Genomic DNA, 13,936 nt, shown 5'->3' with positions numbered 1-13,936 from the left:
GAAAAAAACTATATGCTGAGGTTGCTAAGATCTACAGTAAGAATGAATCTTCTATGAAATTGTGAAGAAGGAAAAAGAAATTTGTGCACAGTGTATATAGGGTTTGGTACTATCTGTGGTTTCAGGCATCCCTTGGGAGTCTTGAAACATATCTCCCTAGCATAAGGGAGGACTACTGTTTATTTTGTTCAGTATTGGTAGTATTTTTCTTCACTCTGTGGCTCTGTATATTTTGTGCTGGTGCTCTTTTATCTCTTTTCTGCCTACTACCTAAGACTTTGTTCAGAGCCTCAGTTTCCCCACCAGTGGAGTATCCTGCTAAGCAGTCTTTTGGTTTGTAATCTTCTACCCCTTCTCTCTCCCTCACTCACCTCAGATGCTGTGTGATGTAATTTCGATTCTCATTGCCTTCAGGACAAAAGTCACACTCCCCAGTATAGCCTTCAGAATGTTCTTCGTCTAGTCTGCCTCCTTCTCTATCACTTATCACCTGTCTTCTGCCCTCACTGGCAGCCTCTTACAGGTCCCCAAATAAGCAGCAAGGCTTTTTATTTTTTGCTGCTGTTTGGTCTGCCTGAAATGCTCTTCCTTGCCTGGCTCACCCCTGTTGTCCTTCAAGATTCAGTTCAAGGGTGTTCTCCCTTTGGAAGTGCACCTTGTCTGTCTTCATTTCCTTGTGCATGTACTGACATCCCTGATTTTCTCACCTTTTCCCTCTTAGGGCTCTAACTTTTAGAGCAGGAATGGTGTCTTTTATGTATCTCTGATCCCTCACATGGTACCTCGCACATAATGGGCACTTAATAAGACTATTTTTTAATGAATTAAATAAATGTTTGATTAAGAGGATATTTAATTACCTGCAGTACTACCAGTTCAACTGTCTGTAGCTTAGTGATTAACAATACTTGGTGATAATTTCATTATGTAAGTCATTTTTGCTTTTATTTTTATTGATTTCTTCCTTAATAAAACTTTTTTATTTCTATTTTTTGAGTTTAAAACTTAGTTCTTGCATTGTAGGAAATTCAAGTCTATGGATTTGTCTCTTATTTCAGCTTTGGCCAGTTTTTGTTATATGCGAATCACAATGTTGATTATTTTTCGTTTATATAATCAGTTTTTTTAACTCGAGTGTTAAAATCCACAAGTAATTGAGAATTACTTTTTTTTTTTAACTTGAGTGTTTAAAATCCACAAATAATTGAGAATTTTTTAGCTTAAACTCTTGATGGTGGACTCCCAGTGTATTGAGTTTGCTTGTGACCTGTGTAACACTTACTTTGAGGGATTTATTTGCATCGCTTAGAATAATAACTTTGTAAATGTTTCATAGATGTTGGATTCTGTGAAGTTTGATATATAGCTGTTAAACCAGTCTTGCTATAACTACATTCAAGTCTTCCGTATTATACTGTATTGCCTATTTTATTTCTCAAAGATAGTGTGTGTTAATATCCCCCATTTAAAAAGTGTTTTTCCCCTTTAGTTTCTGAAAGTTGTTTTAATGGAGTATGCCTCCATTGTTTTATTTTCATGCTATGTTATTTGTTGCATAAAGATTCATAAGTATTATAGGTATATCGTAAATTACATATTTAACCTATTTGAAATAATTCCCTTTGTCCTGTTAATACTTTTTTACTTGATATTAATATTGCTTTGTGTGGGTGTGTGTGCATGTGAGCCTCCTTTTCTGTATTTTATTGTCAGTCTTTCTGTGTTTGAAAGCTGGGTCTGATGGACTTGGTCTTCGGTAGGGGAATTTAACCTGCTTATACTTACTACTTTTTGTGTGTGGTAACCAGTACACATCTGTGTATTCTGATGCCCATTGCACTTGGTTTTAGCTTTTCTTCTAACTTTGTTTTTGGGGGAGAGGTCACTGATTTTGGCTTTATGGAATATGCTTTGTAATTTGGAAGGTGCACTTTCTATTTTCATTCCAATAACTATCTTTCAATTAACAATATCATTTGCATTGTTTTTCTTCTAATATCAAGAACAAAGCAGTATTTCAGCCAGGCACAGTGACTCACACCTATAATCCCAGCACTTTGGGAGGCCGAGGTGGGCAGATTACTTGAGGCCAAGAGTTCAAGACCAGCCTGACCAACATGGAGAAACCCTGTCTCTACTAAAAGATACAAAAATTAGCTGGATGTGGTGGCACACGCCTGTAATCCCAGCTACTCAGGAGGCTGAGGCACAAGAATCACTTGAGCCTGGGTGGTGGAGGTTGCAGTGAGCCAAGATTGCGCCATTGCTCTCCAGCCTGGGAAACAGAGCGAGGCTCTGTCTCAAAAAAAAATAAATAAAGCAAAATTCGATGATAGCCCTATACTTTTACTTTAACTCCATATGTCTTTTGTACTTCTTCTCAACTATTTTAAGCAGTTTATACCCAGATTATTATTAATTTTATATTATTTTTCCCTCTTTAGTAGTTTATTGTAATGTTACCTATTAGAGTATTCTTTTCTTTTTTACACATTTAAACAGGGCTAATACCTCAATAATTTCAAGAAAATGACAGACCCTGCATTTGGTTCTGCCTAAAGATCAACTGTACAGCACACAGGAGGTACATAATAACCTTTGTTCAACAAGACTGGTGTTAGTTGCAGACAGATTCTTGGGGTACCCACAAACCAAGTCACCTGGGAGGGAGGTGAGACATAGTCTAGGCTCTATCTACTGTCAGTACCCACAAAAGCAATTATTAGGGATTTCATTTTCCTTCTGAACACAGGAAAAAAGTATTTTATGCATGATCGTGAACACAGCCAAAACCTTAATGGGAGGTTCTTAAATACAAAACTTTCAAGCTTTACTTTTCACTTTACTGTCAAACTTCATGAGGTTAGATGCCAGGTACTATAAGCTTTTGTATTCTCCATGGCACTTTGAGCTTAATAAGGACTGCATAAATGTCTACTTAAATAAAAAAAAAAAACAGGCCTGTACTTTTGTATTATGCTCTTCCGATCAACTCTGCAATTCTCATATTTGTTGATACCTACATGTTAACTAGGAATGTTTAGGGAGAAACCTAAGAATGAACAAATCTGATCTCTCAGACAGGTCAGTCAGCTAAGGAAACCAGAATTTTAAATAGGTTACCAGGAAGGTAAATAAACATCACGATATAAATACAGGCATGAGTGAACTGTCAGGGCTCCATTAAATCATTGAGAACTCACAGAGGCAAAGGTATCAATATGTTTGATAGTCTTTTTTTTTTTTTTTCCAAGACAGAGTCTTGCTCTGTTGCCCAGGCTGGAGTGCGGTGGTGCAATATCAGCTTACCGCAACCTCCGCCTCCCAGGCTTAAGTGAGAGTAGCTGAAATTACAGGTGTGCGCCATCACGGCCCCCGGCTAATTTTTGTATTTTTAGTAGAGACTGGGTTTCACCACGTTGGCCAGGCTGGTCTCGAACTTCTGGCCTCAAAGTATTCAGCCCACCTCAGCCTCCCAAAGTGCTAGGATTACAGGCATGAGCCACTGCACCCAGCCAATCTGTTTGATATTCTCTTTGTAGCTCTGTAAGCTGGTGAGATGGCTAGGGGTTCTCCTGGAATACCAGAAAGTGTAGTTGTACTGTAGGGGATGCTCTGCTGGTCCAGGGACAATAGCTTTCCTCTTGCTGCTGCTCTGATTCTTGTCTTGTTCTGTTTTTTCCTTCTCTCCATCTTTCTGTGTGCTGTTTTCTTCATTCTGAGCATGGTCCCCAGTGTCATCATCTTTCAAGGTGTATAACTTGTTCATCCTCTCGCTGCTGCTGTTGCCATTCAGATTATTTTATTATAATATTTTTAGGATGTTGTCTTATGTTAGTTGTTTTAGGAATATACTCTTTTTTATAGTCATATTAACTCCAATTATGTAAATATAGCTCACTGTCACAGTGTTTAGAACCCCACACCCTTGTTTTCGGATTATTTTGATTAATCTGTATATTTTCTGGAATATGAATTGTGTAGGATATATTGAAGAAGGGAGGTATGTGGCTGATGGACTTTCAGTTCTAGAATAACTTTCTTTTAACTTTAAACGTATAGCAGGTCCTCAAATAACATTTTGTTATAATGTTAATGAGAAAGTGTTCAAGGCAAATATTCTGTCTTCATGAAAGAGTTGAGTCATTGTAGTAAGAGATGAGTGTCCAGGCCTAAGACAGCAAATGATCAAGTTGCCCTCTCTATGGGTCTCCCTGGAAGCATCTATGCAGCTGGGCTGCTATGCACGTGGGTCCCTCTGAAATCAGACTATACTTGTAGCACAGGCATTCACAGAATGTTTTCTTTAAACCGAACAGTCCAGTTCTCATCATAAGTTTTCTGCATATTTATTATTCAAAAGGTCAAGTAACTAAGACCTCTGTTCTTTTAAACCAAATCTGTTTTCTTCTCGGTCAGCATTTTCTTTACCCAGAGCTCTTCTGTCCTGCAGCTAGTTTGGGGAAGGGTTGCTCCCCACACTCTGCTTTCAGATGTAACATGTTAGTTGGTCATTATTGTAGTTGATTACCTTCCCATGAGTTAGTATGTAGTATTTTCTTCATTCTTCACTGTCCTAGCTTTCTAAGTGGAATTGAAATCAAGTGTGAATCCACTGGGACATGTTGCAGTCATCTGATAATAATTTAAAAATATTTCCCACACAAATCAGAAGACCAGCAGTTATAAAGTAGACTATAGCATCTTGTGTAGACTCCAGCTTACATTTCACATTATTCCTGGTCATGCAGTAGGTTCTGAAGAAAAAAGAACTATGGATAATCAGTTAAAAGAATGACAGATTCCCTGATGTGCTGATCAGTAGTAATACCTAATTTCGATTTCGAGTGTACTATAATGGATTACCATATAGATGCAGCTGAGCACTGAGCATTAAATAGAGCTGTGTGTTTTTCAGAAAAGTAATATTTATTCACACTGTGTGGCTTTCTTGATTTTTTTTTCTTATTTTACTTTCCAGTGAAACTACAAACAAGATGTCAGTAGCTTATGTGGCATTCACAGCAGTATAGCTTAGAATATTGGCTGCAGTAGAAGAAATGCCAGATTGTATTTGTCCCAGTAAAGGTAGCCTTCATCTAGGGCTTTCTGAGGGACAGGCTTAGCATTTGGACATAGATAGTTGTGTTGGGCTTTATTTTTATTGACCTCATAGACTTTAAACAATGGCTCTTGCAATATTTGGGTACAAAAAGCATCAGTGTGGGTAATGTTTCAGCCTTTGACTTGTTGTGTAAGATTTTGTCTATTTGGGAATATTCTTAGTAGCTCAGATACTGGGCATGCATTTCATATCCAAGCCTTTTTGAGTGTTTTTAAAGTCCATCCATTTTGTGAATCTGAAAACTTACCCAGAAGTGGTGATAATGATAGGCTTGACCTCAGAATAAGCTGGAAATTACTTTTGTGGCAGACTGACAGTATCTAAGCATGTAGATACACATCGTCTTGCTGTATTCTGTGTTTTTCTTTGTTGTGTGCTAACAAAAGAAAATGAAATCAAGAAGACCAATATGTATTTTGGAAAACTAAAAAGCATGATTTTCACTGCCAAATTAGTTTCCTGACCAAATTAAAGACCTGAAGAACAGTGGGTATGTCAAGCATTCATCTAATCTAAGATCTATTCTGAATCTTTACTTTTCTCAGCATTTCCTATATGAAATGTTTAAGTGGCAAGATGGGATCAGAATATGATCCTGGGATGTAGCTGGGCTGCCAGGTCCCTTAAAGGAGAATGCGTGAGATAATAGGACACCAAGTTACTGCTGTGCCGTTTGCCCAGGCACTGTGAACTGCATGGAAGGAAGCACAGAAAGCATGGGGAGAACTCACTGGGACCAGGTTTCCATCAACGTGAGGTAGCAGCCAGCTGTTGAGAAACTGCCAGTAGAGAAGCCATGTCTCTCAAGTAGGGGGCCCGTCTCTTAGAACTTCAGCTTTCCAATGTGATGAGAATATTCTAATTAATAATTTGAAGATTATTGTGGCACACATAGAGATGGACTGTACATATTCCCCTTCAAGAAAGAATGTGCTGCCCAGCTACAAAAGTGGCGTTAGCTGATGGTTTCCAGCTCTTCACACCTTCGGCTTTCCATCCTTGGTCATACTCTTTGCATCATGGCCCCAAGCCAGTAACTGCCAGAGGCAGTAGTACAAGGGCCTCGCCATTTCTGGTCACACTGGACTCCTCTCATCTTTGCTCTGGAGCTTCCGCTAGGCTGGCAGAGATTTGTCAGCTCTGCCTCGTGGTCTGAGGCTCCCCTGTCTAATCTTGCTGCCGTCTTTTCCCTTTCACAGGTGTTAGTCCTCAGTAGGCCATTTGTACTCCTATCTCCTCCATTGCAGCATGTTTTCCAGAAAACTCACCTTGCTATTATCATTAATTTTTTATCAAAGATACCAAATTGGGGTCTATAGTAAATTTTTCTGTTAAGAGAAAGTTTGAGTTAAAGAACCAGAGGATCTAACTTAGATGCAGGTGCAGGCTTGTCTTCATCTCTCGCATCTGGTGATCCCCAGGCCATCTCCAGATTGTGTTTGTGGCCCTAGAGTTGCTCATTTGGCCTGGCAGCCTAACTCCTGAGACCCTCATTCTTATTCTCAGTTCCAGAGTCTTTGCATTTCTTGTTCTAATCTCTTTGCTTGTGATTTTTTCCTGTAGGTTGTAAACCAGCTTGGGTTCTTGATCCTATGTGCCCATGGGGATGTTTGAGTTTAGGTTCTGTTGGTAAGACAATGCTCACGTGGGTTCTTATTAAGATATTCTGTAGAGAGCTGTTTTACTTATTCTGATTCCCTTTTAATGTAATGTAACTTGACATAACATAACAACCCAGTTTTTATATTTAGCTCCTTTTTTGTGTTATCCATCTAAAATTAATGTTAGAGCATATTGCAAGGGGAAGACTTATTTTGATTTTTTTTCCCTTGAAACAGCCAGTTTACTTCTGTACAATTTATAGATGGATCTGTCATGCCTGGCATTTGGTGTCTGGCTTACAAAGGTTGTGTGTTCTCAAGGCAAGAGATTAATATTGAGCTCACTTTATTTAATATTGAAGTCATTCTGTTATGTGACATCAATTTCCCCACATTTTCTAATATGTTTAACTTTTTAGAACTAGTTGTGCATATAAATACTCGTAAATGTTTCTAATCTTTATAATAAGTAAGCATACAAATAGCTGGCATATCAAAGATTTCTCCTTGGATTCGAGCACATTAGCCTCTGGCTTTTGCTTTACCTTCATTTTACCTTCTTAGCAGAGCTCCCTCAGCTCACGGATACCTCCAGAGCTTCATCTTGTCGTATTTTAAACTCTCTCAAAAGAGAGCTCTCATGTACACACAGCTTCAGCTGCTGCCCATATCTGTTACCGTCCAAATCCTGCCTCTGTACTCCAGACCCATTTACACATTTGCCTAGAAGAACATTTCCAGTAAGGTCATCCCTTGACACCTCAAATGGCAGGATGTCCAGAATCAAACTTGACAGCTTATTCTCCTCGGGTCTAAGATTGCATCTGGATTTGATCTCTTGGATAAAGGTGTTGCCATCTACAAAGCCACTGGGAGCCATGGAGACCTCCATTTACTACAGCCCCTCTACCCACTTATCCTGACAATTTTATCTCCTGCATATCACTATTATATGTTCTCTTTACCTGGCCGGCCTTGATCCAGGCCTTCTTATTTCTCCTCTGAAATGCTACCATTGCCTCTCTTTAGTGACTGTGTCTACCTCCCCTCTCAGCTGCCTCCAGTTCACCTCCAGCTGGAACCCATTCAGGGACCACACTGCTCCCATGAGGACATTAAGCCCCCAGCCTCGCCTGCCTCTCCAGGCCCATCTCCTCCCCTTCTCACTGCCTACCAGCCAAACTGACCCTCCTGCTGCTGTGGTTCCTGTAAGGCACCAAGCTGTGTTGGCCTTCTAACATTCTCCCATGGCATTCCTTCTGTCCCTATCCACTAGGCGAATTTAATTCATCTTCTAAGTCTCAGCTCAAGTGTCCTCATTTCCAGGAAGCATTCCATGAAGCCCCTGCTGAGGTGAAGCTCTTTCCCCCTTACGTCTGTAATATTTCGTGCAAACGTCTGTCAAGGTTTTTTTTTTTATTTAAAAAATTTTTTTTTGCTAACTGATATTCTTTTCTTTATCATCTCTCTTGCCCACTATTCATGAAATCTTGGAAGGATTACATATTTTATTTATATTTATTTTATTTTTCAAGAGTGAAGTCTGTTGTCTGGTGTGTAGGTATTTTTCACTAAATGGGATTTGGAATGCATGTGGGTGTGTTTGAGTGTTTGTCAGAATTATCGTGTAGTAACATTAGATATGAGATACCTTTGAGAGTTATGGGCTTGAAAGATAAGGTGACTTGAATAGACTTTCTCAAAAGAATACATAGATACATTTGGCCAACAAGTTTATGAAAAAACGTTTGACATCACTAATCATCAGGAAAATGCAAATTAAGATCACAATGAGATGTCATCTCACACCTGTTAGAATTACTATTATCAAAAAGATGACAGGTAACAAGTGTTGGTGAGGATGTAGAGAAAAGGAAATGCTGGTATACTGTTGGTGGGAGTGTAAATTAGTGCAGCCGTTATGGAGAATAATATGGAAGTTCCTCAAAAAAACTAGAAATAAAATTACCATATGCCCCAGCAATCCCACTTCTGGCTTTATGTCCCAAGGAATTAAAATCAGTATGCAGAAGAGATATCTGCACTCCCATGTTTATTGCAGCATTATTCACTGTAGTTGAGATATGGAAACAACCTAAGTGTCCATCAGTGAATGAATGGATATAGAAAATGTGGTATGAATACACAGTGAAATACTATTCAGCCTTATAAAAGGAAATGCTGTGATTTGTGACAACATGGTTGAACCTGGAGGACATTGTTGCCAAGTGAAATAAGCCAGGCACAGAAAGATACTGCATGGGGCTGGACGTGGTGGCCCACGCCTGTAATCCAAGCACTTTGGGAGGCTGAGGTGGGTGAATCACCTGAGGTCAGGAGTTCGAGACCAGCCTGGCCAACATGGTGAAACCCCCATCTCTATTAAAAATACAAATATTAGCCGAGTGTAATGGCAAGCACCTGTAATCCCAGCTACTTGGGAGACTCAGGCAGGAGAATCACTTGAACCGTGGAGGCAGAGGTTGCAGTGAGCTGAAATCACGCCAGTGCACACCAGCCTGGGCGACAGAGTGAGACTTTGTCTCAAAGAAAAAAAAGATACTACATGATCTCATATATATGGAATCTACAAAAGTCAAATTTGTAAAAGTTTGGGGATATTCTTAACTATAATTCTAAAACTTATTAGTTTTTTTGGCCATTAATTTCATGAAATTCTTGCCACCAATTTCATTTTCTTGTCTCACTGAGTTGTTTACAGTCTCATTCTCTTTGTTTTCACTTTTCTTCCCAATCCTGTTCTTTGTCCAGAGACTAATAGTGATTATAATGAAAATGGGAAGGAGATGGTGAAAAAGAAGAAACCTGGGGAATCTGTCATTTGGGAAATTTTTATTTTAATATTTAAGAAATGGCTATTATTTAATTAAGATAAAAATAACATTTTAGGTTTTTTCTTGTTTTCTTTTGGAGGGAATTAAACTTGGGACAGTGATCTCTTTAAAACATTCAGGTAAGAAAGCTTGCCTGGGGCAAGTGAAAGAAACTATCTCATAGGAATACAGCATGAAGTGCAGTATTTATGTTATTGTACATAGTTTCCTTTTCCTCTTCTAGAACTTACCTACAGTGAGTAATATGGGCCTGTCATGAAAATGTGTAATTTCATTTGTTGTTTATTTTCTTTATATCTTTTTTTAATAGAAAATACTGCAGTTTCTACCTGAACGAATTTTCTTTCGATGGCATTACCAGAGTATAGGTAAGAACAATTAAAAATTTTTTAGTAATATGAATTTCTTCCAGTTGAATTTTCAGTAATGTTTTATATAATTGATATCATCAAGATAGCTTATAGAAAGGAATATTAATAAGGGTATGGTATTATGGTAATGAAAACCAAGACAAGTTCAACCCTGACTTTGGAGACAAATATGTCTCTCTCTTCCTCTGTGTGCTCCTTAGAGTATAGTTCATAGGCCAGCAGCATAAGCCTCACCCAGAAGCTTGTTAGAGATGCAGAATCTCAGGTCCCAGCCAGACCTCCTGAATCACAGTAGTGTGTATTTTTTTTTTTTTTTTTTTTTTTTTTTTTTGAGATGGAGTCTTGCTCTGTCGCCTAGGCTGGAGTGCAGTGGTGTGATCTCGGCTCATTGCAACCTCCGCCTCCCGAGTTCAAGTGATTCTCCTGCCTCAGCCTCCAGAGTAGCTGGGATTACAGGCATGCGCCACCATGCCCGGCTAATTTTTTTTTTGTATTTTTAGTAGAGATGGGGTTTCACCATGTTGGCCAGGCTGTCTCGAACTCCTGGCCTCAAGCGATCCACCCGCCTTGGCTTCCCAAAGTGCTGGGATTATAGGTGTAAGCCACCGTGCCCAGCCAAGAGAATTCTTGTTCTTTAAGCCTGTATCATTGACTGAAAATTATTCTCTTTGAATGCTTTAGGATGTGGCATTGAGAGGAAACTTGAAATAAAGCAAATTACCACAGCTGCCTTTTCTGTCCAGCTTTTAACCTCTAACATCTCATCCCACTTGAATATACACAGCACAGCTGGAGTAATTCTGGGAAATCAATCGTGAATTCTGCCTTCCGTTTTAAACAGTGTCTCCTTCAATCCCCTGCCGTACAAGAGTCTAGCATGTCCTACAAGATTTCTTACTTACCAGATGATTGTATTTGTGGAGAGTGTGACCTTATGATGGAATCTAACTCTGTTTGATCATTCATTCATTCAAATATTTGTTGAGGGAGAGACATTTGTGTGCAAAGTTCTGGGACAGAAACTAAGAATATATCACCATTCTTGTATTGTATAGGCCTTTTGCCCAGTCAGGGGATAGATGAGAAAAATAATTACAGCAAAATTGTCTCTATGAAAGAAGTATGATGATAACAAAAAAGAAAAGTTGAATAATTCTGTTCAGAGGAATTGAGGAAGGCTTCAAGAGAGGTAACTTTGATCTGAGCCTTGAAAGATGAACAGGTGCAGTTTGGAAAGGGTTTTCTGGGTGGGAGATCAATATGTACAAAGTTGTGGAACCTGAAAGAATGCAACATGATTAGTGGATATTCCAAAATTCTAAATCCTAAATTTCATTTAGGATTATTCAATTATTAAAATTGAATTGACTGTTATAGAAACTGAATTATTTGAAGTTATATGTTCTTAATTTAAAAAAGTGTATATGTCAATTGAACCAAATGTGTAAATCATTACTTTAAGATAGTGCCTTTATCTTTAAATATTTCAAATACACAAAGAAAGTTTTCCTTTAAATTTTAGAGAGTTCTCCATTGCATTTCTGCTTAATTGAGACTTTCAGCTTGTGTTTTTAAATTAAAGTAAAAATAAAAATTTAAATGTAAGGTATAATCCAAAGAGACATCATGGGGATTTGTGGTGCTCCATGGTACCGTAGGAATGGCTGACAATGAGAAATAACTGCATGCAGTATTTTTTATCTGTGCTACATATAATCCTTCTTCAATTTTGTTTATATCATTTGTATGAAAACTATGCTAATTTTCTTTAGATAGCACTTTAGAATGTCTGAAGATTAGTAGGCTCTTCACAGCATGAATAAACTTATTAGGACTATGTGTGAAAATTAATTTGCATTTGTGTTGTGAAACTATGTGTCTAGTAGGCAGTGTGTAGTATTATTTTAATTCTGCCTAATACCACATAAACTGGTTAAAATTGCTGGTACAAGTAGCTTTTTACCCAGTTTGGCAGCATCTTAGCAAGAACAATGACTGGAGGCCTCAGACTCCTCAATTGAGATTGCCAAATACTGAGTTTCCTGAGCCATCTAATAGCAGTATGTGTTGTTTATCTGGTGTGCAGAACAAGCTGGTGCTGTAAAGTGGTCAGAATGAATAATATTTCAGAATGTTGAAATATGAGCATTTGCATGTAAAATAATCCACATTTATTACTGATGCTTATATACTTAAAGTCAAACAGGCTCTTTTCAGACAAATATATTTTTGCATAATAATCATATTGGGTGGAAATTGGTGTTGACACAGGTCCACATCGCTTCTACAGTGATCTTTACTAGATGTGCTTTGGAATCAGGCATTTTCAGATTTTAGAATGACAATGTGGTGCGTTGATGTACAATGAAGCAAATAAATTAGAACATCAAGACAATCTTAACATAACACTTCCAGTGGCCTGGGCAGCGCCTTCTCCTCCCGGCCCCAACTAAGCAAGTTATTATTTCTATAGCTTAAGATAAGAATATGTACCATTAGTGGAATATCTACACACAAGATAGCCTTATTCGGGTGTTGCAGGCATATGAATTCAGATTAGGTTCTGTCCACTAATGACTTACACAGAAGAACTTCAGTTTTCCTATAATCTTTTGGATTTTGAAATGGTCCATAAGAGATTATGGATTTGTAATTATATACATATATACCTCACTGTACCTATTGAATTATTTCCAGTTTATTTGGATTTTTAAAACTGTTACCATTAGTCAGTCCGGGTCTTGACTGAGTTGTTGTAGAAACTTAGAAACTATAGGGAAATACCAGGTATCAAAGGAAAGGAATATGCTTTAAATATGTCCTCAGCATTGGCATCCTGACTTTTACAAAACTTCTGAGTCTTGGGCAAGGAGGGGCCTTCTCACCAACCAGTGTCTGATATTCTAGGTAGCAAATATTCCTTACCTACTAGGGAGGACACTCCTATACTAATGTCTTACTAATTAAATGTTACTGCAGCTGGTGGGGGACAGGGTATTCTAAAATGTTGGGTTAAAACCTTGAAGTTGTAGTTATACACCACTGATGCGGTATGCTTCTTGTCCCACACTGCAAATGACAGTGTCTCTAAGCAGAGAAACCTAAAATAAGGGCAACTGCTGTATTCTATGAGTCTCGAAAGCCACATTTTATCCTGAGAAGGAAGAAAATAGTTTGAAACATCAACCACCACAGTGCTTGAAGTCTGTTTCTTATCATGTCATCTTATTTTGTCTGTAGAAAACAGAGACATTCTATTTCTCTTAAAACTGCTTTTAAAGGGAAGGGATAATCTGCGGTTTTTGTTTTGGTTTTTAATGGCTGGCTCCTTGCTTTAAATCGTTGAATGAGGAAACATATTTGAACTCGTAAGTTTTGCAATGTGAAATGAACATGGGTTCATTATTCCATCTGGAGGTATTTCTTCAAGTGATGTTTGTACAGCAAGATGACCAGGGGAGTGGTTGGCACAATACTCATGAGCTCTGCATTGTACACTAATATACAACTCAACTATTTGTCAATTTCTATTACTGACTACGAAAGAAAAAATTGTTTATCAAATTTTTTCTGAAGTCATTTTTTAGGCCAGTAAATCATGGTGGATAAAGGTGACTGCTTGACATCTCATTTCTGGGCAATAATTAGAACTGATAGAGAGTGAGGCAATGGCAAAGAATCGCACTGGCAGCAAACCAGGGATATTTGGTATAAGGGCAGGCTGCGCATCGTCAACACAGGACTTAAGTTATATGTGTGTTGACTTTAAGAAGGCTTACTGCTCTGGAGCCTCTAGAAACCAAGTTTCCTGTCTCATTCAGTGTACAGTGCTGTGCCCGAACTCAATAATTATTTGTCAGGTAGGCAGAAGGATATATTTTGTATTAGAGATGTTTTATATAAAAAATGTTAAAAATGAATAATCCCTAGGTTTAAAGGGGTGGGGTTCAGTTATTGGAAAATTCACATATGTGCAATACCTCA

At 38.3% G+C, this 13,936-nt stretch overlaps 1 protein-coding gene and 1 pseudogene across 18 annotated transcripts in view; one reads left to right on the top strand and one right to left on the bottom strand.

Annotated features, from left to right (window-relative positions):
- The window catches only part of RALGAPA2 (Ral GTPase activating protein catalytic subunit alpha 2), a 323,115-nt gene that overhangs the window by 49,166 nt on the left and 260,013 nt on the right, over positions 1-13,936 (top strand). For all 18 annotated transcript variants that reach the window (XR_007067471.1, XR_937111.3, XR_007067470.1 and 15 more), the window contains one exon: positions 9,892-9,949. Coding sequence is in view for 9 of the 18 variants with exons in the window: in XM_005260768.3 (XP_005260825.1) it covers positions 9,892-9,949 (58 nt within the window). In the remaining 9 variants the exon portion in view is untranslated. The remainder of the gene's footprint in view (positions 1-9,891; positions 9,950-13,936) is intronic.
- EIF4E2P1 (eukaryotic translation initiation factor 4E family member 2 pseudogene 1) lies at positions 3,515-3,791 on the bottom strand (annotated as a pseudogene).

The sequence above is a fragment of the Homo sapiens genome, chromosome 20 (genome assembly GCF_000001405.40).
Source record: "Homo sapiens chromosome 20, GRCh38.p14 Primary Assembly".
Classification (NCBI taxonomy): Eukaryota; Metazoa; Chordata; class Mammalia; order Primates; family Hominidae; genus Homo; species Homo sapiens.
The sequence above is the reverse complement of the archived record's forward strand: the minus strand, read 5'-3'. Positions and strand labels throughout refer to the sequence as shown.